This window comes from Homo sapiens, chromosome 6 (assembly GCF_000001405.40).
Source record: "Homo sapiens chromosome 6, GRCh38.p14 Primary Assembly".
NCBI lineage: Eukaryota > Metazoa > Chordata > Mammalia > Primates > Hominidae > Homo > Homo sapiens.
The window spans coordinates 161,553,038-161,576,843 of NC_000006.12; the positions used below are offsets into that span (position 1 = coordinate 161,553,038).

Below are 23,806 nucleotides of genomic sequence, written 5' to 3' on the forward strand. Positions count from 1 at the left end.
CTCAGCCTCCCAAAGTTGTAATCACTCTCTTGTTTTTCTTTATCACTCAAGGTTCATTTCTAAACACTACAGTTCATTTTGTCTGTTTTGAAGATGTGTTGTTTAGTCCATCACCCTCCATTGTCTTTTTTTCCTTGCAATTTATCTGTTGAAGAAAGCAGGACATGTGACCTACAGAGTTTCCCAGTCTTCATTTTGCTGATTGTATCCAATGTTGCAGTTTATAATGCACCTGGATAATTTTTTTCCTATAAATTGATAATTGGTCTATAGGCTTCATTTAATTCAGCTTCTTTCCTTCCTTCTTTCCTCTCTCCCTACCCCCTCTCTTTTCCTCCTTTTTTCCTTCCTCCTTCATTCTCATCCCTTCCTCCTTTTTTGGTCCCTCCCTCTATCTCTCTGTCCTCCTTTCTCCTCTTCCTTCTTTCTGTCTCTCTGTAATACTACTTCATAGATGGTGTTTTGTACTTCTATCAGGAAGATCATAATGTCTTTCTCTCTTCTTGAAAGCTTAGCAGTCATTAATATTCAGTAACTAGATTAATTTATTGGGATTGAAAAATGATATTTTAATTCAAACATTCCTTCATTTATTAGTTAGAATACTTCTATTTTTTGGTTATCCAGTGGTATTGTATGAATAGGAAAGGCAGGATAAAATATTTGAATCTTTTTTTTCAATGAACATTTATAAACTCATAAACTTAAACATATTATGTGTTAAGTGTGTTTTAACTCAATGCAGTGATTTCCTTCTTGATGCACAACTATCTCATCTCTGGCCAATGGCAATCCTATCAAGATGAGTTTCCATAACATGATCCTGACACCATTCAATAGCTTCCTCGCTATCTGCTATGGAAAATTACTCAGGTTCATCTTACACGTTTCCTGCTCCAGGCCAGGAATTGCCTACTTTTAAAAGAAGCACTGCTTCTTAAAAATTTCAAGACCATAAATTGGGTGCTAGGCATGTTCAGTGCTCCTAAGTTAGTCATTGTTTCTAAGTCCTCTCAGTTCTCACTTTGAAGGACAGGTATCTCAGAACTACAAGGTTTTTACTTAACATTTTCTGTTTTACCTCTGTTGCTCCTTTCTTCCACACTGGTTCTCAAGAACACAGAAGATGACATAATTACAATATTCCATAATTGCTCATTTGCTTTTTCTCACATTACACAATTTCAGAATAACAATACCATCACTGTGCCTATGATTTCTGAAAACTTCAAATATGTTTTCATATGCTCTACTCATTCTCCCACAAAATTTTTAAAATAATTATACTGTATCCACACTGTTAACACATGCGGCCATTTCGAACTATGCTGTCTTTCTCTTAACCTTCATGTTATCTTACTTCTATACACACACACACACACACACACACACACGCATGCAGGCACAACCATCAGTACTTATGTTGATGGTTGATGTTTTCCCAGTAATTTTGATTGCTTGAATCTTGTTCTCTAGTAAATTCCTCAGGAAGAGTTCCTGGGAAATACAGTCACTGAGTTCTTCCATAGTAACAGTTTATTTAGGGCTTTTATTCTTGATAATGAGTTTGGCTGCATAAAAAATCTTTATATTATACATAAAAAGAATATATGGAATTATAGTTTCTTACAGTATACATATAAGGAATATACAATCCTGATATACATACAGGGATTGTGTGTGTGTGTGTGTGTGTGTATATATATATATATATATACATACACACTTATATTTATACATACTTCCCCCTTGAGTATCTGAAATCTCTTACTTCATGTTCTTCTGGTATAAAATATTATGGATAAGCCTGAAAATAATGTTTTTTTCCTTTGTAAATTAATTGCCCTCTTTTGCCTAGATGCCCAAGGAATTTTTTCCATTTCTTTAGAATCCAGGAATTTTGTTAGAGTATATCTTGGTGCTGGTCATTTCTGGATCAATTTTCACAAGCATACTGTGTCAGGAAAGTTGTACTGAATTTAGTTTTTAGGGTTCACTTTGTTCAGTTGCTTTGATGTTTTTCTTATGTCATTTCTAGTATACATATATTGGATCTTCTTTACCTCACTTCTAATTCCAACAGCTTATCTCAAATCCCTTTTTAATTTTCTTATTTGTGTTTTTTAGAATTTCCTTCACTTTTCATTTTCTATTTCTTTTAAGACAATATCTATTATATGTATTTGTGTAATTTCCTAATAATTTCCTAATAACTTGGTTCACCTTGAAAAGGTTATTTTGGCTTTCCTTTGATTTGAGGCATTCTTCCATTGTCCATAAGGATGCTATTTTGTTCTACATTCGCTGCATCATTTTAATAGCCCTGTACGGGACTGAACCTTGCTTCTTTTCTGTTAGAGTTTTACCTTGTTCCTTTGCTGTTGCTCAGTTTTACATGAAATTAGTTCTCCTGAAATTTTACAAAGAGGTAGGATTCAGAAAAACTGTAGACTTTTCTGTTCTGGTGTTTTAGGCAGTGTTCAAAAATATGGGGGCTTCCTTTCTGCAATCTCACAACTCTGTTACCCCATTTTTAACCGGACTATCTCCTTCCTTTTTTTCTCTTCTATTTTGAGCAAATTTCTGCTCAGTGTGGGGCTTTGTCCTGAGGAGGGCCTTTGCCTGGGTAAATCTGGTGAGTGCATGAGACCTAAAGTGCTCCAAGCCCTTTAAACCTTATTACAGACTTTTGCACTCATTCCTCTATCCTTTTGTGCATCCACATGGCCTGAGTTTGGCATAGTATCTTGTCAATAGTTTGTGGACAGTAAATAATTATAAATTAATAAAATCTAACTCCATTAAGTGACAATTAATTAAATAATTCTAATAAGATAATCAATAGCAATGGAAATTAATAACAGTAACTCAGGATTATTTTACCTACAAAAATAATTTTTTAAAATAAGTTGCTCTTAAGTAATTGACTATTTTCTCATTTGACAACACATCACCTAGTCTATTTAATTTAGTTAGGTAATTTTATTACTATGACAATAGCTTTTATCTCGGAAGAAGTTAATGTATGGACAACGTCCAATAACAATTTAGAAATTCTTGTTGACTGCATTCATAGTGGTCTCAAATATTGATGGAATTTTAAAAATTATGTCCCCCTTTCCATTCATTAGCTAGGGAATTTATTAAAAATTATTGTTATTTATTTTGTTTATGATAAACTCAAGAGCATTTGAGCATACAATTCCTTTTTCAAAGGAAGACAAATATTTTAACATATGCGCCTGGGAATTTCTGATGATTAAAAAGTACACACAATACCTGAAATATGCCTATTGAAAGTATTACTTTTCAAAATTAACATTGTGATATTTATAAGAAAAACACTGACCTGGAACAAAGAATGTGCTAGTATTTGTAGAAAGCTTAATATACTAAGGAAATAATTTAGTCATGTAATTACATATCATTAGCAAAGATCCTTACTAAGTTACCTTCGAGATATAATCCACAGTTTTCATAGATCCTTTTAACCATTTACTGGCACGAAGTTGAAAGCGCATTAATGGAGATTTGTGACAAACTAGCACTAATACAGAATACTGTATTTATCTCAGTATAAAATATGTGTGATAATGGTAAAGTAACTAATAAATCTACCCCAGTTGGTGGAAGGGAACAAACACTTCCCTTGATATTCTTGTATTGGTTCCAAGGGCTTTTTTACTTATCAATATTGAATAGCATTTTATAAACAGACTAACTTGGAGGAATGTGATTAATTTATAATGTGAACTGGGTTTATATAGAGTCCACCCTCAACTGAGCTCAAAAGTGGAAAAATCACTCATGCATGTTTTGTCTATGGAATGCACAGTGAGCATCTGTGTGTGTGTAGATATGCTAATATTTACATGTCAAACTATACTGACAGTTTTAAGCTATTAAAAATAGTTTGCAAATTTCTAGATATGCTTTCATAAAGTGAATAATCCACAGACAACTAAAATAATTTTGAATTTATTGTACAATATTTGCAAAAATATTTGAAAATAAATGTAAATATTCACAAAGAATACTACTCTGAACCTAAGGAAAACAATAACTGTTTTTCTCCTGTATTTTATCAGATTATAGCAAAAAATACATTTCATTAGTATGCGTTATGCAGGTAGAATCCTGACTCACTGCTATACTTTCTATTTTATTTCTTTGGGGAGTAAATTATTCAGTCTTTATGTGAATGCTCATGGATTCTCTTAAGAACAAAAAGTATTCATTTTAAAGCATAAAATTCATAGAAGTTTCAATAAACTCGTATTTTAAGAATTTAAATAATGGGTCATGGGAGAGTATAATGAAATAGATATTGTATTCTGTTAGTCTGCAGGTTAGGAGACCTGTATTTGGGTAGAAAAGTGTTCTATAATGAAGGAACGGTTGCACGTTCAAGCCCCAGAAGGGCCAGTGAACTTCCCCTTTCTTGCTGGCTGTTGACTGCATGTTAAGTACATTAAAGGAACATGGGTAGTCACCTGAGAAGTGTGGCTATGGGGAAACCAAGCGTAAACATCCCCCACCACTGAAACACCATCCAAAAGGCCTCTCCTCTGTAGGAGAGAACAGGCTGCTTCACTCTGATGCTTAATTTGCATGCTTTCATAGAAAAAGAAGAAAAGAATCTAATTTTAAAAACTACAAGAAATGTGAAGTACAGGGATCCGAGGTAAAACTCAAGTCTGAGAAAAATGGCACATGTTCTGTCAAAATGAGTCAATGCTTGCCAGCCATCCAGGAGCTATGTGGCCCCCTTTCAGGTCCTCCAAGCTAAGGAGGTTGATTTTGTGCTGTCATAGTGTTTCCCAGAGTATCCTTTTGGGGGCACTCAGGTACAGCTCTTGGGTCTCCTTTGCTTCCCCACACCACTCCATAAATTATAGCTTTTGTTACATCTCAGCCAAAAGCACTTCGGGGACTCCCTCCCTGGGCTTCTCCCTCAATCCCTCCTAGAGCAGAGGGGTCGTGATCAGGCTTCTGTTCACTGAGCTACTGCAGTGAACCAAACCACGGCACCGACACTTTGCTGCTCGGTTAATTCTCTGTCCACTCTGTGAAGTGATGGATGTGGCCTCGGAGCCACAAAGAAGTGCCATCTTTTGCTGACATCCACACAGGCAGAGAACCCACAGTGCTGCATTAGAACTAAGGCTGAAACTTTCAAGACCACGCTTTCCACAATACCCAGCTGCCTCTTTCTCTTATTCCCTTCTATTAAAAAAAATTCAGTCAGGTATAGTGACTCATGTCTGTAATCCAAGCACTTTGGGAGGCTGACGTGGGAGGATCGTTTGAGACCAGGAGTTTGAGGCCAGCCTAGGCAACACAGCAAGACCCCATTTCGACAAAAAATTAAAAAAAAATTACCTGGGCATGGTGGCATGTACCTGTAGTCCCAGCTACTCAGGAGGCTGAGGTGAGAGGATCATTTGAGCCTAGAAGTTCAAGGCTTCAGTGAGCTGTGATCACACCACTGCACTCTAGCTTGGGCAACAGAATGAGACTTTCTCAAAAAAAAAAAAAAGAAAATTCAGCTCACTATTCCTCTGCCATCTTTTAGAAACTAATGAAAAATAGTTTATTATAGAACTTCCTCTTTGGATTAAAAAAACTATAATAACGTCAGAGAGGAACATCAGCTTATGATTTAGCCATTTCTCCTTGCTATGCAGATAATGTCCCATTTTCTATACGCATTAGAAATTTTTTTCAAAAAAGAAGCACTCCTTAGATTGTCAGTAATCTTCATCTTCCTTTTTTTTTCATTTGCAGGTAGTTAGCCTGAGAGCATCTGTGACAGCCTAAGTGGTGGCCCCCATGACCCTGCTGTTTTTCTTCTCTATTCTGTTGCTAATAATGTTTTCTTCATCCCTGAACATCTGTCAGCTACTGATGAAGTGAATTGGCTAGAGAAAGGGCTGGACCTTGTTAATTGCATAGAAAAAACTATCAAGATGGCTGAAATCAAATGCAAAGAGGCAACATCAAACAAGACCTAAAAAAAAAAAAAAAAACCAGTAAACAAAAAAAACAAGCAACAGATCATATCCGGAAGCACAGTTTAAGAAGTTTTTGGTTTTTTTTTTTCCAGATATTTCAGGTGACCCAATGCCAAAAAGCATCTCATCTTCTAGTAGTTGTGGAATCTTCTGGAAAAGAGATCCAAATCAACTGGCTTCCTTGTCCCCTCTCCATGTGTGACACGGAGCAGCACCCACTTCCAGTGTAGCTCCCCTTTCAGGGGAGGGCTACAAAGGCTGTTTTCCTCACAAGAGTTCCTACAGCTGATGTGACTTCAGAGACTCCTGTAGACTATGGAAACAGGGTGGTGAAGCGTCTCCTGATGGAGCGCACTGCAGAAAGCAGGGTTGTCTGTGGCTGTAAATTATTTCACTCTTTGCTCTCATCCCAGAGAAACAGTGTTAGGGTAGCACCTAAATCTGCAAATCCAAGAGCCTTGCCCCTCAGATAAATGAGCGTTGCCTCTGCCTTCCTTGAAAGGAGCTGGGGCACAGGTCACTGCCACCATCCTCCTTCCTGGCTCCCTAGTCTTTTTCTTTCCCTGAATTCAGTATTTTCACCTCTCTTCTTTCTGCTTATTCTCTAGAAGCTCTTTGTCCAGTCCTGAAGCAACTGCGATGGTTTCTAGGTGATTCTGAGGGAAGGGTGACATGTCATTGTCTGGAAGTTTTGTGTAAGGCTACGGGTGGGGCAGTGAAATGGGTTAGCTCCACTGAGCATTTAATGATCTAATTAGAACTTGGATGAACCAAAATATTTTTTAAAATCATGTGGATTGTATTAGATGGCTTCATATTTATAACTATCTGAAATGGACAAGCCTCTAACACTGAGGAAGCCTTTTGGGGTGAAAGCCGAGAAGCTGCCTTAATGCCAAGGCACACCTGAGCACAGGTAACAACAGCCAGGTGCTCTGGATGTCCACCTACGTCCCTCCAAAGATCATCACAATGCATCCCTCATGCCCCACATCATTGCTTCAGAGGCTCAAGCTGCCTGTCATTCTTATCACCCAAACTGTCAGTCCCATATGGGTCCATACGTTTCCTAATATCAGCCAATTTCCATGCTTCCCTCTCTCCTAAGCCTTTTTTCTGTGTCCCCTGAAATTCCTGTTCATGATAAACTAACTGCCCTGTATAATCAGCCTTTTGAAAGGTTTCCCTGTCCACACTGACTTAACTGAAACTGATCCATCTCCCTTGCAACCTTTTCAAGTGAAGGCTGCTTTTCATTTCATATTCACATCTTTCAAGGCCAGAGGTGAAGATGGTTGTCCCTTGGCTCCTTAACGACGCCCCCAAATGCTTGGGTTCCTCTCCCTTGCAAAACCCACCACTCCTTTGAGACCCATGCTTCACCCTCACCTCCTCACTGCTGCCCCCTGATCTCCTGGATGCAGCCCCTCATTCTTGAAGACTGTAGCTTCAGGCTGTTCTCACCTTTTCTCCGATTCTTGTCATCATTCTGGGGACTTGAACTCCTGTATGAATAAGCCACCATCAATCTATTCTTTCTGTTTTACCTTCTCATCCTGCTGACCTTTTTCTCATCCTTCTATTCGCACGGTCCATCCCCAGGCTCTGTCATCCTGAGAAACTGTACCACCTCTGAAATCCCAATTCCAAATATGTCTCTTTCTGATGATCACCTCTTATCTTTCCAAATCTCTTGCTAAAGTATGAACATTGCTTAAATTCTTCAACTTCATCAAGACGTCTAATTAATTGGCCCCATATTTCCTCTCCAGCCATGGGCCTCTCCAGGCCCACCTTCCTTCCTGGTCTGACAGCTTCTGTCATCTACCACCAGAAGCATTGCCTGGAAAACACAGATTTCCGTGGTCTTCTTTATCTGATGGCAAAATTCCACGCCTGGAAAACATCACCTCCACCTTCCCTGGGCGTGTAGCCCTGCAGCTGGACACAATGGCACGATGACTTTCTCTTAAATAATGGACCACAAACTTCAAATGGGCATTTACAACTTCCTCAAGATTGTATTGTGTTTCTCCAGTGACATGTTCTCTCTTCTTTCTTCCCCTCAACCCGCCGAAAAAAGGGGTGAAATAAAAAAGATGAAATGAGGATAGTTACAAAAGCATAGGAGATAGAAGTTTTCACATAGCAAGGGTAAGAAATATTTTTATAAATGTTGGTAATAGTTATGATAATTAGTAGAATTAGGATAACAGTGAAGTAGTTATAGAAGAAAATGAATTTATTACTTTTATCTGGAGTTGCACCAATTTTTTGGTTCCTAAGACCAATGTAGGTAGGACCTGCCTCTCTCCAGCCATCCATACTTTATATTTCACTGAGGAGAGAGGAATCATGGCTGATGTCCTGATGTGCTCAACAGATGTTTCCTAAGCACACTCTAAGTGTCAAGTACTCTTCTATGTGGAAGACGCAGCAGTGAAAAATGACATCTTCCTTCGTGGAGCCATCATACTGCATCTCTCCTCTTCACATCCCTGCAACTATGAACACACCTGCACCTGCACTCACCCTCTCCAGCCCCTCTCACAACACAAAAAGTGGCCTTCCTCCTGTTAGGGGCCGATTCCTCCCTCTCTGCTGGATCTGAGCCCTTCTTGCCTTCCAAAGTACTTCCCTTCTTCAGTTCTTGGATCTCTCTCTCAAATTACCGGTAATTCATCTCTGTGGAATCCTTCCTGTGAGTGTAAAACAAGTTCTGGCCCTTCGATCTTTAAAGAACTGTCTTGTGGTTGCTGCATTTCTCTTTCTCTTCATAGCAAACCCTCTAGAAGGAATTATCCTCCCCTTCTGTTCACTCTTCATCCCATAAAACTCTGGCTCCTGTCTTTACGCATCCCCCAAAACTGCTCATTATGGTCATTCGTGACTTTTGCCACAGTGTCACAGGCGAAGGACGCTCCCTGACCTCATCTTCTGCAAACTCTCAGTAGCATTCAACACAAATCACCATTCCTCCTCTGGAAGGCCCGCCTTCTCAGCTTCCCCAACACCATAAATCAGCATTCCTCCTCTGGAAGCCCCACCTTCTCAGCTTCCCAAACACCATAAATCAGCATTCCTCCTCTGGAAGCCCCGCCTTCTTGGCTTCCCCAACACCATAAATCAGCATTTCTCCTCTGGAAGGCCTGCCTTCTCGGCTTCCTCAACACCATAAATCGCCATTCTCCTCTGGAGGACCCGCCTTCTTGGCTTCCTCAACACCACAAATTGCCATTCCTCCTCCGGAAGGCCCGCCTACTTGCCTTCTCAGCTTCCTCAACACCATATGGCCCTGGATTGTCTTCTACTTTCCTTGAGGTTCCTTCTTGGTCTCCTTTGTTGGTTGCTGCTCTTTACCCAATTTCCAAACACTGGTGTTCCTTACGGTTCATCCAATCACGGTCTCTCCTTTCTTGGCTTCTTCTGAGAATCCCCATGGGTTTAAAATTTCCTCTACATGCTGGTAATTCCAAAGTTATCTCTCCATCTCGGACCTCAGGTCTCACTGTCCTCCAAGCTCTCACTCACACATCCAAGTCCCGACTTATCTCCTTCTCCATGCTTCAGGCATAGCAAATGTGTTCAGAATTGAAGCTCAGATCCCATGCCTCTGATCTCACCTGCCCCATTTTGCTCATCTCAGTCAAATAGAACTTTCAAACTCCTTCCTTTCCCTGACCCACAGCCAGTCAGTCACCAAGTCCTTGAATTCTGCCTCTCAAGATTCACTTCTTTTTGTCTCCGCTGCCAACTGTCTTAATCCAGAGCCTCTCCATATTGCAACAAGATTGACATACTCAAAATGTAATTTGGATAATGCTAACCCCTTGCTTAAACCTTCAAGGATTTCCCACTAAACTCAGAACAAAACCCATATGCTTAACCCTGGTGTCCTTGGTCCAGGTGGCCTTCATCTTTTGGCACTGTCCTTCCTGCTCAGTATTTTCCAGCCACCTTGGTTTAATTTAGTGTCTTGAATAAAGCAAGCTCTTCACCTCCTTGGGGGCACTGGATGTGTGCTTTCCTCTGCTTGGGATGCTCTTCTGCCCACTCCCATAATGCTAGCTCCTTCAATAGCTGGTGTCCCCTCAACGCTTAGTCTCAGGGCTCCTCAACTACCCCTCATCTAAAGTAGGTGACATCCCTATTTGTTTTCATCCTAGCATCAATTATGATCAGTAACTGTGACTTCCTCATTTACTATTTTATCCAACACTAGCACAATAATAGTACAAGAAAGTATTCAATACATTTTTGTTGAATGGATAAAGGTTATTTCCATAAAATTTCAGTGATTAAACCTAAGGTGGAGGAAGCTGGTATAAATGGAGGTACTTCTGAAATGCAATTGGTTCAAAGGCCCTACAAACCTATTGACTCCAGACATCATACCTGATTTCTGAAGGGCTCACCTGGAACTGCAGAGTGACTTTAGTTTCCTACAATGTGATAATGTCTTTGCCAAAGAATTTGGACTAGGGGGAAGGAGTGTTGAAAGGTGCTATATGAATATGAATTGTGAACACAAATCAGAGAAGGGGCTAAGAAGCTAATATAAATGTATTATTTTAAGGAGTTTATTTTTATTTTGGGAAGGCAGTGATACATAGTGTTTAATTTTTAATCCAAATCTAAAAAATCAAGATACCTACTAAAGATCAACGAAAACAGAAAGGAACCACATACAAAGAAATTAGAGGTCTGCTGTGGGTCTCTGCCATACAGTAATGAATTAGTAATTAACCAGCATTTTTGTAGGTTTTATCAACTCACTTTCTAAGTGAGTATTACGCTTACTTTACTGTCTATTTTGTTGCCACTATGTAAAGCTGGAATATAAACAGCATTTAAAATCAGAGGAATTTTAGTATAGCACAATATTTGCAACTTACTTGGCAACCTATTTATTTACAAATATTCTAAGAGATGATTGAGCTTCACTCTCCCTTGTCTACAAAAAGCTAAGTTAGAGAAACAAAAATGATTTGTCCAAGGATGCTTGTAACAGACATTAATATAAACATTTTATTTTATCAAGTGATAACAGTTGCCTCAAGCATCCAGTGAGATCCCAAGAGTTTCACCAGCTCCTGGAGCAGTTGCCCCCACCGCTGGCAGGAATGCTGGGACAAGAGCTCTCTGCTTCCTCTCGGGAGCCTCATTGCCACCATCTGCCTAGAGGCCAGTAGGTCTTGTCATGAATAATCAGGATATAAACGTCCCTGACTGATATGCCCTGTTCACGACAGTCACCAAAGAATGCCTGACTCCTGTTCCATCTCTCCAGGCTGAGCCCCAAGCTCCACATCCACTCTGTGTATCCTTTTTCCTACCACATATTCCAGCTGCCCCAAACCCTGAGACCCTTCCCCCATGCTTGGGGAACTCATGGGCAATCAGCAGTAACTGCCCTATGACTGCAATCTGCTTTCTCAATGTTTTTCTTACATTCTTCCCTAACTGAAACAGGCGTGTCCCTGAGGACACTACTTCGCCTGCAGCACCCTCAAATGTTTTTGTGTCTGCAATCCCAGTACCACAAAGCATTGCTCTACAGTGTTGTAAGTAAAACATTTTCCCTTTCTCCTTCTAAAGCCCTCCAACTTTCCATTTCAACCCATCAGCCTACACCATGCACTATTTCCCCTTCTGCTGTCAGCTACTGACATCCATTTCTCTCTCTCTCTCTCATTTCTCAAATCTTCAGTTTGCAATTCTGGAAGATCTCAGCGTGCACAGGGGTGGTACTCCCAACTCTCCGACTTCCCAATTCCATGACCTCAACTTCTCTCGTCACCTTGTCCTCCATCTGAAATCAGACACACAGCCTCCCTAGGCCTCCTCTGACCTCGTCGGTGCTGACCATGCAGCTCCTCCACAAGCTCGATGTGAAGTCTTTCATTCTTTGGCCAATGCCTGTTTGTCCAGTTCAACCCTTCTAGTACTCAAATCCCGAAAATTCTTTGAGCCACTGGCATCTGTAACCAACTTTCCCTGTCCTCTCTCTCATCTGGGTTCTCTGCTTGCCCAGCTGAAATTTCATGGTCGGTCATAATCACTCCCTTAGATTCACCCTCAGCTTACACTGTTGTTGTAACACTGTAAGATGAGATCCACCCTCAGCTTCTTAGCCTCCCTCTTGTTTTTGTTACATTTTGACCGCAAAACTTCAATGCCAGTGCCTTTTCTGCATCTGTGCCTACACAGATGAGTGTGTCAGAAAAACACCCAGTGGATTGACCTCACTCCAAATTCAACCATTTCCCAAGTTTATTCCCTCCTCACCCTCCTAAATGACAATTTCATTATCCTCTCCTGACATGGTTTGGCTGTGTCCCCACCCAAATTCTCATCTTGAATTGTAATCCCCATAATGCCCACACGTCAAGGGCGGGACCAAGGGTGGAAGTGATTGGATCATGGGGATGATTCCCCCCATGGTGTTCTCGTGATGGTGAATGAGTCCTCACGAGATCTGATGGTTGTATAATTGGCTGGCATTTCCCCTGCTTGCACTTTTCTCTCCTGCTGCCTTTTGAAGAAGGTACCTTGCTTCCCCTTCGCCTTCCGTCATGATTGTAAGTTTCCTGAGGCCTCCCCAGTCATGTGGAACTGTGAGTCAATTAAACCTCTTTCCTTTATAAGTTACCCAGTCTCAGGCATTTACTTATAGCAATGTGAGACCAGACTAATACATCTCCTTTCCCTCTAAAACTCTTCCCCGATCTGTACTCTCAGCTGATGACCTAGCTTCCTGTTACACCAAGAAAAGAGAAACAACCAGCAGAGACCCTACGCAAGGTTTACCATCAAATCCAATGCTCATACGTCTGTGCCTGCATATTCTGTCTCCCCCACTGTTACCAGGCGGAACTGGCCACTCTCTTGTCCAAGCCCATGCCTACATCCAAGGACACTGCTCCTGAATTCTCCCTTCCCCCTTCTGCATCATCAGTCTCCCAACTCCTCTACTGAATCATTACCATCAGTACATAGACATGCTGCAATTTTTCCCATTAAGAAGGTCATTTTCTTATCTCCATCCCTCAGCTACCTCATTTCTTTGCTTTCCTCTTCAGCTAAGTTCCCAGTTGCCAAAATTAAAATGTATGTATTTGCAGTCTCCCACTCTTTGGTTCACCTCTCACATGAATCCATTCGAGGCAGGCTTTCCCCTCACTGCCCATGGTCAAGGTTACCAAGGACCTCCACATTGTGGAGTCCAGTGCTCATTTCTCATCCTTGTCCTTCTTGCTGAGCATAGGACACAGATCATGATTCCTCCTCCTAAAGATGCCTTCTTCCTTTGGCTCCCAGGTCATGATACCTGCCTGGATTTTTTCCCACCTTATTATCATTATTATTTTTCTGAGACAGAGTCTCACTCTGTCACCCAGGCTGGAGTGCATTGGCACGATATTGGCTCACTGCAACCTCCGCCTCCCAGGCTCAAGCAATTCTCCTGCCTCAGCCTCCTGAGTAGCTGAGATTACAGGCGCCCGCCACCACACCCAGCTAACTTCTGTATTTTTAGTAGAGACAGGGTTTCGCCATGTTGGTCAGGCTGGTCTCAGACTCCTGACCTCAGGTGATCCATTCGCCTTAGCCTCCCAAAGATGTGGGATTACAGGTGTGAGCTGCCACGCCTGGCCTCCTCCCACTTTATTATTGCAACCCTATCTCATGCAATGTGGCTCCTTCCTCTTTGTTTTGCTCTGTCCTCCTCCCCTCCCCTCCACCAGTCACACTTGTTTCTGGACTATTATGAATGTTAAAGCCAGGCACATGATCACATTGGAGCCTCTGTTGTTGCTTCATCCACTCTGTGGAAATCTCCTTTCCCAGATGTCACCATGAGGCTTCTCTGGATACCTTTCAGTCTTTATTCACCTGTCACCTGCTCAGTGAAACTTTCCCTGACCACCTTATATAAAATTTCACCTCTTCCTCCAGTATTCACTGTCCTTGTTTTTTTTTTTTTTTTGTGTGTGTGTGTGTGTGTGTGAGAGAGGGTCACTCTGTAACAAAGACTAGACTGCAGTGGCACAATCTTGGCTCACTGCAACCTCCACCTCCTGGGTTCAAATGCTTCCCATGCCTCAGCCTCCAGAGCAGCTGGGATTACAGGCGTGCACCACCATGCCTGGCTAATATTTTGTATTTTTAGTAGAGATGTGGTTTCACTATTTCACTATGTTGGCCAGGCTGGTCTCGAACTTCTGGCCTCAAATGATCTGCCTGCCTTGGCCTCCCAAAGTGTTATCATTACAGGTGTGAGCCACCACACCTGAGTGCTGTCCTTTTTCATTTCCTTTTTCTCCATAGCAATGATAGCCATCTAACATAATATACACTAAATGTGTTTATGTGTATATAATATGGTTTTCTCTAAGTAGAATATGGAGATTTTTCACTCCTCTATCCCTGTAACCTAGGATGGTATATAGCACATAGTAGGTACTCAGTAAGTATCAGCTGAAAGAAAGAAGGAAGTGTGTGTATGTCTGCATGTGTGTGTGTGTGTTTGCGCGTGTGTTTGCGTTTTAGGAAATAGAGATCAATATTGCTCTGATGCACTATATTACCAAAACTAATCGTAGTGATATTAATTTTGATTATGGCTCAATTAAATTTCTAGGAGAATGCAAAGTGACCTGACCTTTACAAAGCAGATCTGAGGAGATGATTACTGTTGGCTTCTTTCCTTACTAATTACCCATGGACTCTAAAACAAAAATGGAAACACTGCAAATATTGGTACAAGTTTGAAGAGAAGACTCCATTATCTGAGCAGAATTGTCAGGGTAACAACCAGTGATTCTTGCTTTAAGAAGTCTTTAGGCTTTCACTGGGAAATGGCTGTGAGATCCAGGTGTCTTCACAAGGAGTTATGTTTGGGAGAGTCAGTTGTCAACTTTTACCTGCAATACGGGATAACTGATTTCACTTGTATTTGAATATACATTTATGCCTGCTATTCTGGAAACTCACAATATAGAAAAATGAAGGGGATGTACTGTAATTCTCTAACTCCAGGATGTGGCAGTGATTCCAGTTTCTTATCCTCTCCTTACTAATCCTTTTGTTTTTATTCTCATATTGGAAATGGGCAGTTTTACTTTGCCACATACATACACCAAACAAAAACACACAAACCAAAAACTCATTGATGAAAGTGAGCTGCCACATCTCCATTTGCATATTTCCTGGTCAAAGTTGGCAGAGACAATCTTTAGGAGTAAAAATAAATAACACTGGGCTGGGCGTGATGGCTCACGCCTGTAATCCCAGCACTTTGGGAGGCAGAGGCAGGCGGATCATGACGTCAGGAAATCGAAACCATCCTGGCTAACACGGTGAAACTCCGTCTCTACCAAAAATATAAAAAATTAGCTGGGTGTGGTGGCGGGCGCCTGTAGTCCCAGCTGCTCAGGAGGCTGAGACAGGAGAATGGCGTGAACCTGGGAGGCGGAGCTTGCAGTGAGCTGAGATCATGCCACTGCACTCCAGCCTGGGCGACAGAGCAAGACTCCTTCTCAAAAAATAAATAAAATAAAATAAATAACACTGGAAGTTAGGTCAATCAGCCTTTTGCCAACTCTTTAGTGTATTTTAAGGATAACTTGACACCTAGATTTAACATACTAATACAGAGTTTGTAGTTCCATATAGGGATCAAGAAACGTATTTTTAAGCATTCCATACTATATATGTGTGTACATATATATAATATTTAGCACCCTGAATTATTTACTTAGCATATCTATTTAAATTATGACACGCCTCACTGAGCACAACACAGCATTTAAATAATCCACTTCAAATGGTCACCCTTTGTATAGACGTCACATGTTCATACCCGTGTACAAAAGGCTGCCATGAAATACAGATAACAAACACCCAATACAAAAACCTGGTAAAAAAAAAAAAAAAATGCTCACACATTCACCCACAGACAGCAACTTAGGAATGTCTATGACCATCGATCCCTCAGGCATAATTCATCTCTGCATTTATTTGTTTGCTCATCTGCCACTATGCAGTGCTTGCTTCCTGCTTGAGTCTTGAGATGAAATGCACTGCACTGGCAGATAGCAGATGTAGCAATTAATAACCTGTCAGGTCTGATGGATAGAAGAGGAAAAAAGTGTCCTCACACATATCTCCAGCATGGTTTTCTTCCCCATTTCAGGGCACCCAGGGTCAGGAGACATACTCGGCCTCCCTGGGGAGCCCAAACTGTCTCATTAGCGTCTATCTTTCATGACAGTCTGATGCAGCCTTTGAGATGCTCACTCACCTGCTCTTCTCCCAGAATCCTGAAGTGATGGAGCTCTTTAATCAAGGAGTTGGGACAGCCAGCTGTTGGAAAGAAGAATTAATCACAAAAACGTCACTTTCACTCTGTGTGGTTATATGTTCTTACACAGAGTTATGACTATCAACTGCCAGTGTTGCCTTTTGGGAGGACACAGACGTGTACCTGAAAAACACACATCTAACCAACCACAAAAAAAGCCAAACCCTCAAAAGAGCTATGGCCGCTGCCTGGCCTCCAACCGCACCTCTTTAGAAAACAGTTGCATGTGACCCTGGCCAGGCTTTCTCTCCCCTCTGATTATGATCTGGCCTTAGGATGTCATGCCACTCTGGTTCTTAGAAACATGTTCAGCATGTCACTGGTTCCTCATATATAGCCAGGATTCCGCAGGGCCAGAGTAGGGGAGTTGGTGACCACAGGCTCTGACTTATTCATCATGTCCTGTTTGCTCACCATCAAGGCCAGGGGCCTGCTCATTGAGAGGTAAGAGCAAAGGTCGGGTAGCTACACATCCATTCTTTGGGGGGCTCAGCTGGCGGTTAGTACCTTGCCTGGTTTTGTCAAGAGGCTTTGTGAAGACCTATTAGATCTTGCGTTTGAGTTTGGAAAGGGCATCTTACGGAAGGACCAAGAGAGAAGGCCCAGCAGTTCTGGTGCCTATCACTTTCTCGTTCCACCCAATCAATCCAAGCTCCTTCAGACTTTCACCTTTTCCTTCTTCAGTTGTAAAACAAAGTAAGTAAATAGGTAAAAAAAAAAAAAAAAAAAAAAATATATATATATATATATATATGCACACATACACACACAATTAAAATACGTATGTATAAAATATTATATAATTATATTTAATGTATAGATATGAGTTATATATATTTTTATATAACTCACATATATAAATTATATATGTAAATATATAATTTTATAGAATTATATAATTAATATAAATATTGGCCTAAATATATATATTTATATATAATAATATAACATATATAATAAATATTCTATGTAAAATAAAATACAGTTGACCCTGGAACAACATGGGCTTGAACTTTGTGGGTCCACTTATACACAGATTTTTTCTTCTGCCTCTGCTACCCCTGAGACAGCAGGACCAACCCTTCCCCCTCCTCCTCCTCCTCAGCCACTAGCTGTGAAGAGAATGAAGATGAAAACCTTTATGATGATCTGCTTTCACTTAATGGATAGTTAATACATTTTCTCTTCCTGATGATTTTCTTAATAACATTTTCCTTTCTCTATCTTACTTTAAGAATATAGTATATAATACATATGACCTATAAAATATGTGTTCATAGACTATTGATGTTATAGGAAGGGCCTCTAGTCAACAGTAGGTTATTAGTAGTTAAGTTTTGGGTGAGTCAAAAGTTCCACATAGTTTTTTGACTTCAGGGATGTTGGTGTTCCTAAGCCTCACATTGTTCGAGGCCCAAATGTATAGATATGTAAAATTTAGGCCAGTATATGCTTAATATCATTTAAAATGTGTTGCATCCCTGTCTTTTCAATAGAACTATTCCTCGATATTAGGTTGTAGTCATTTATACTATTATTTTTTTGAGTCAGGGTCTAACTCCAGGCTGGGGTGCAGTGTGTAATCATGGCTCATTGCAGCCTTGACCTCCTGGCTGAAGGTACCCTCTTGCTTCAGCTTCCTGAGTAGCTGGGACTACAGGTGTGTGCACCACCAAGCCTGGCTAAGTTTTTTATTTTTTCCTAATTTTTTGTAGAGATGGGGTCTCACTATGCTGTCCAGGCTGGTCTCAAGCTCCTGGGCTCAAGTGACGCTCCCGCTTCAGCCTCACAAAGTGCTGGGATTATAGGCGTGAGCCACTGTAACTGGCTTATTTATATTATTCTCTCTGGAAACAAAATTGATATAAAAACCTGTTTCTTTGAGATAAGACCTATGGATTATATAATCTGTTGAACTTCCTAGTAAGGAAACTGGATTGTATGCAGGACATATCAACTAAATTATGGAGCCATTTCTCATATTCCTCAGCATTGTGATGTGAGAGTGGTCAGAAGCCCTGAGAGTGTTTGTCTGGGGGAGGGCAGGCTGAGGAATGAGAAAACCTGTATTCACACAGGTGAAGGTGCTCATTGCGATACAGATTAGATCTGTGCATTGTTTCAGAGAGTAGGATTTAAACCAACAGAAGAAAATGGAATAAACTGCCTTATAAGACAGTAACTGCAGGTTTTTCAACACATGCTAAATGAATACTTATGTAGGATATTTTAGAGAGGAATTTTACTGGGTATGATGATGAATTTATGTGTCTACTTGATTGGGCTAAGGGGTGCCCAGATAGCTGATAACATGTTATTTCTGGGTGGGTGTGTGAGAGTGTTTCTGGGAGAGACTGGCATCTGAGTCTGTGGACCAAGAAGATCCACTCTCAGCAATGTGGGCAGGCATCGTCCCATCCACTGAGGGCACTGAGGGCCTGCACAGAACAAGAAGGCAGAGAACGGTGAATGCTCTTTCTCTTCTAGAGCCTTAAAGATCAGATTTCCTGGTTCTCAGGCCTTCTGACTGCAAGACATACACGACTCCCAAACCTGCTGCCCCTAGTTGTCAGGCCTTCAGACACAGACTGAATTAGACCAAAGGCTTTCCTGGTTTTCCAGCTTGCAGATGGCAGATTGCAGGACTGCTTGGCCGCCATAATTGTGTGAGCCCTTCCCCCAGTAAACGTCCTCTTGTCTCTTTCTCTTTATAGATCCTATAGACAGAAAGGTCCTGTTTCTTGGGAGAAGCCTGACTAATACACTGAGTTATTTCCAATTCCAAAATTCTATGGTCATGTAAAATGCTGGAACATAGCTTTAGCCTATATTATATAACATTTCATATGTTGAGAAAGTGCTTCACAAATGTTTACTGAGTAGTACAAAAGATTACAAAAATGTGAACAAAATTTAAACACACGTGTAAACAGGTGATGCCACCAAGAAAATAAATAAAAATCCTGGCCGGGCATGGTGGCTCACACCTGTAATCCCAGGACTTTGGGAGGCTGAGGCAGGAGGATCACAAGGTCAGGAGTTTGAGACCAGCCTGGCCAACATGATGAAACGCTGTTTCTACTAAAAATACAAAAATTAGTCAGACATGGTGGCGGGCATCTGTAATCCCAGCTACTTGTGAGGCTGAGGCAGGAGAATCGCTTGAACCTGGGAGGCAGAGGTTGTGGTGGGCTGAAATTGTGCCAATGCACTCCAGCCTGGGCAACAACAGCAAGACTCTGTCTCAATAAATAAATAAATAAATAAATAAATAACCCAAGTGAATATTTTACTGGAAAACATAATACATTAGCTTTCACAGGCATGTCTGGTACTGTAGAGAAGGAAAACCAGATCCTTCAAGTGAGAAACAGATGCTTGAGCTGAGTGCTTCTCCAACTAGAGACCACGGAGACTTGCAGGCTGAAGATTCTTTTTGAGAAGTTGTTGATTTTGGGGTTGCTATTCTGATGATTACCTAAACAATAGTAAAAATATATTCTGGATCATTTGACTGGCTTCAGTTCAAACAAAAACTGCTGTGAAATTCAGCCTCAAGTCAGTTCCTGTGCTTTGGATCTCTTTGGGAGCAAGTCATCATAGTTTAGTTTCCTGAAATGAGTGAGAAAAGAGTGGATAGAAGGCAAGGGAGGCTTCCCCTGCCAGTGACGTCCCATGGTCTGGGGCCGAGTGTCCGAAGGGTAGAGTCACAGGAGAAGTTGTGGGGGAAGGGAGGCAGCCTACAGCTCAGGGTCCCAGGCCTGCTGAGATGGAACATTTGAATCTGGGCCAACTCATCAGGGCCCTGTTCGGATCCCAAGCACTGCTTTAGTGTCAGTAAAATGACAGCCTCTGGCGTATTAAATTGATAGAGTCCATCAGAATATTTTGGTCTTGTACTTTCAGTTATATTTAATTGATATGTTTTTATTTGGGCCTTCTAGTTGTATAAGCATAAAGTATTTATAGCTCAGTTTATATCTAGACACATTGAAGACATATTGTCTTAAAAATAATTTCATTCGGCCAGGTGCGGTGGTTCACGCCTGTAATCCCAGCACTTTGGGAGGCAGAGGCAGGCAGATCACGAGGTCAGGAGATTGAGACCATCGTGGCTAATACAGTGAAACCCCGTCTCTACTAAAAATACAAAAAATTAGCCTGGCGTGGTGGCGGGCGCCTGTAGTCCCAGCTACTCGGGAGGCTGAGGCAGGAGAATGGTGTGAACCCGGCAGGCGGAGCTTGCAGTGAGCCGAGATGGCGCCACTGCGTTCCAGCCTGGGCGACAGAGCGAGACTCCGTCTCAAAAAAAAAAAAAAAAAAAAAAAAAAAAAAAAAAAAATATATATATATATATATATATATATATATATATATATATAAAACTTCATTCAACCTTGGGTGTTTTGGAGAATTTTTTGTTTCTTTACAAGCGGTCTTTTATGTCACTCAAACTTGAGAAAAATGGCTTTATTTTAATCCTGCATAAAATAAGAAACACAATTTTAAATTAGCTTATCTTCAGAATGTGTATTCTGGCTGTCTCCTAAGATACAAGTGAAAGGACTGATGTTGATGATAGCTCGTATATAAACATCTTTAACAGAAGACTAGATAATTACTTGAAACACCTGGTAGGTTCAAAAAAACAACAAACAAGACTAGACACAGCATAGACTTAGATGAGAAGAGCTGGAAGGCGGCAAGATATTTAAGAAGACCGTGGACGGCTATCTGCAAACTGTGCTCATCACAGGGACACTAGTGTGGGAAATGGCCAGATATAAACTCAGTGTGAAGATGGGGCTTAAAAATAACAAAACTGGAACTGCAAGACGGGCCCACAGAATGCATTCGCGTAGGGAGACAGGAAAACGTTAGCGGAGGGGGCGGAGGTGGCAGAGAGGAAAACATGGGCCTGGCGAATAAAAACCACAGTACTACTTCTGGATTTGGAGCAATAGAGACCATGTCCGATCCTTCCATGCCCTTTAAGCATCACCTCCCTCACATATGGGTTCTTCTGCATTGATTTTTGGTAAATCTGCGTTGACTCTTAATGACTGCATATTACTTTACGTAATGAGTATTCCTGATGAAATTCGTGAGTAAGCGCTCACATGATTTTTTTCTTTGGGTGTTTGATGGGTGAAACTGGTATCAAACTCACTGCTTTTCAACTTTTGAGATTCAACTTTTCCTCATTCTGAAAAGTTAAAAAATCATCTCCGGAACTCTGAACTCTTTATTGTATCTCAAAGATTCCCGGCAGCATCTCTGAGACTATAATAGAAGTGTTTGGACATCTATTGGCATTTAAAATATTTGTATATGCCATATTATGTCATCATTTTTCTTAAGCACAAGGTTCTCCTTAAATTGTTATTCTGTCCTTTCTAACATGGGACATATTCTCTTTGCTCAAGAAAACAGAACACACAGGAATCGAGTAGTGTTTTTACCTACTGACACTGTGTTAGCTTTCTTGACAAGAGCCTATTCTTCTCTATCTTTTCCCTCTTTTCTTGTCCTGGACTCCACTTTTAAAGCCCGTCCTGCTGTCCTTGGAAATTTAAAAGAGAATGTCACCTCTTTCCGTGCCATCCTCATGCCGTGCTCACAAGTTTGTGCTCTTCTGTCGTGTTTTTCCTCTAGTTATTAAACCCATCACTCAACTGTTGCCTGTGTTTTCTAAAAATCTGAGCTCATTGGTGTTCAATGAATACCAGCTTTTTGGTGTTAAAAATGAATAAGACAATTTGTTAAAAAGCATATAAACACAGGATTGAATCTTATTTTAAAGGACAACTGCGAAACTGGGCTCTATATTTCAATTAGTATCTGTAATCAACATTTACTTTTATTCTGTTGCTATACCATAAAGGTCATTTTATCATCTAACGGGGAAGCTCCTCAATGAAAACGCGTCACAAAGTTGTGTAGCATTTCCACAAAGTCACTGACAGCTACTGAGAAAAAGCAACCCCAAACAAAACAAAACAAAACAAATACCTTTGAGAGATTAACTGAGCCATAATGTTTTCAGAAAGCTTTCGGTGAATTTCCTCAACAATCATGCTGTAAAGTAGGGAAAACTCATTTGGAAAATATATTCCATTGAGAAGCATTAAAAACCACATGAGTCTTCGATCACTATTTTTCCTTTTAATTTCTTTGCAAGTCATCACAGGAGCAATTGTGATATCCTTTGGGTTCAATGGAAAATCGTGAGCACCCAGGCTTGGGATAGAAATGGAAATGGATTTCAGCTCTCTGATGTGCTCCTGGCACTGGTCACATGACACAAATAATCTGCAATTTGCAGATTGCTGCTGTTTGGTGCGAAACGCTTTGAGGATTAATTTCTCTCTCGGCTATAGCTTAGAATCCCTAATGTGGGCTTGACAATTACAGTGACCTTCTATTTCCCCCCTAAGTACAACTTAGAAAAGGAAACCGACTAACGACAAAATGGCATCAAAAATAAATGAAGATTCAATGTGATCGAAGACAATGCAGCGAGACTGAACACTGACCTCTGAGCACAAGCCAGAGAGCATGGGCCACATGTGCAGGCTGGGCTGCAGCAGTGAAGGAATCCAGTGGGCGGCTTGCTACTCCAGCTAAGCCAGGTTGATTAGGGTTGCCATACACTGTGCTGAAGTAGCCATTTCTGAATTAGTCTGAGAGCCAGGCGTTAATAGGATCCCTGGAAAACTCACTAAGCTGTCTCGACAGAGTAATTGCATTCAGTCAGCAGCAGGACTTTACAGAATCAAGTTTAAAGCATTATCGTTTTCATAAATAAAGCCAAGCTTATTTTAATCCTTTCTCTCTGCTGATGGGTTTTTATTTATAAAGGATTATTCATGCATTCTTTCTCCGTAGCCAATACTTGCTGTCTCAAGATATCCTAAGCCAGTTAAGGAGAATCTTGAAGATACTCACCTTCCACCTAATAATGTACTTACAGGTATACACACGGGAGAGTAACTTACATGGTTACACAAGGAGATATGGAATAGAATATTTACTGCGACATTTTTGTAATAACAGCAACAACAAAACGACACATCTAAAATGACCATCAACAGAAGAAGAGATAAAATCATTCAACAAATAGCCATTGTGCACCCACTTTGTGCCAGGCACTATTACGACACTTGGGTCGCAGCCGTGAAAAATTAAAACAGACAAAAATCCCTCATTGGAGCTTGCATTCTAAAGGGGCGAGAGACAATAAAAATAAACTAATAAGTAGGTAAATGAAGTAACATTTTGGATGGTCATTAGCACTGTGTGGAAAAGAGAAAATACAACAGTATAAAGGGCAGGGTTGGCTAACGTAAAAGTAAGTGTTCATTTCTTATTGAGACCATGACACTGAAGCACAGATTTTTAGGAATTGAGTTAATATGAGTTAGCTAGA

At 40.8% G+C, this 23,806-nt stretch overlaps 1 protein-coding gene across 6 annotated transcripts in view; it reads right to left on the reverse strand.

The window, feature by feature from the left end:
- PRKN (parkin RBR E3 ubiquitin protein ligase) overlaps positions 1-23,806 on the reverse strand; it is a 1,380,350-nt gene that overhangs the window by 205,621 nt on the left and 1,150,923 nt on the right. For all 6 annotated transcript variants that reach the window (XM_024446449.2, NM_013988.3, XM_011535863.2 and 3 more), the window contains one exon: positions 16,318-16,379. In XM_024446449.2, coding sequence (XP_024302217.1) covers positions 16,318-16,379 — 62 coding nt within the window. The remainder of the gene's footprint in view (positions 1-16,317; positions 16,380-23,806) is intronic.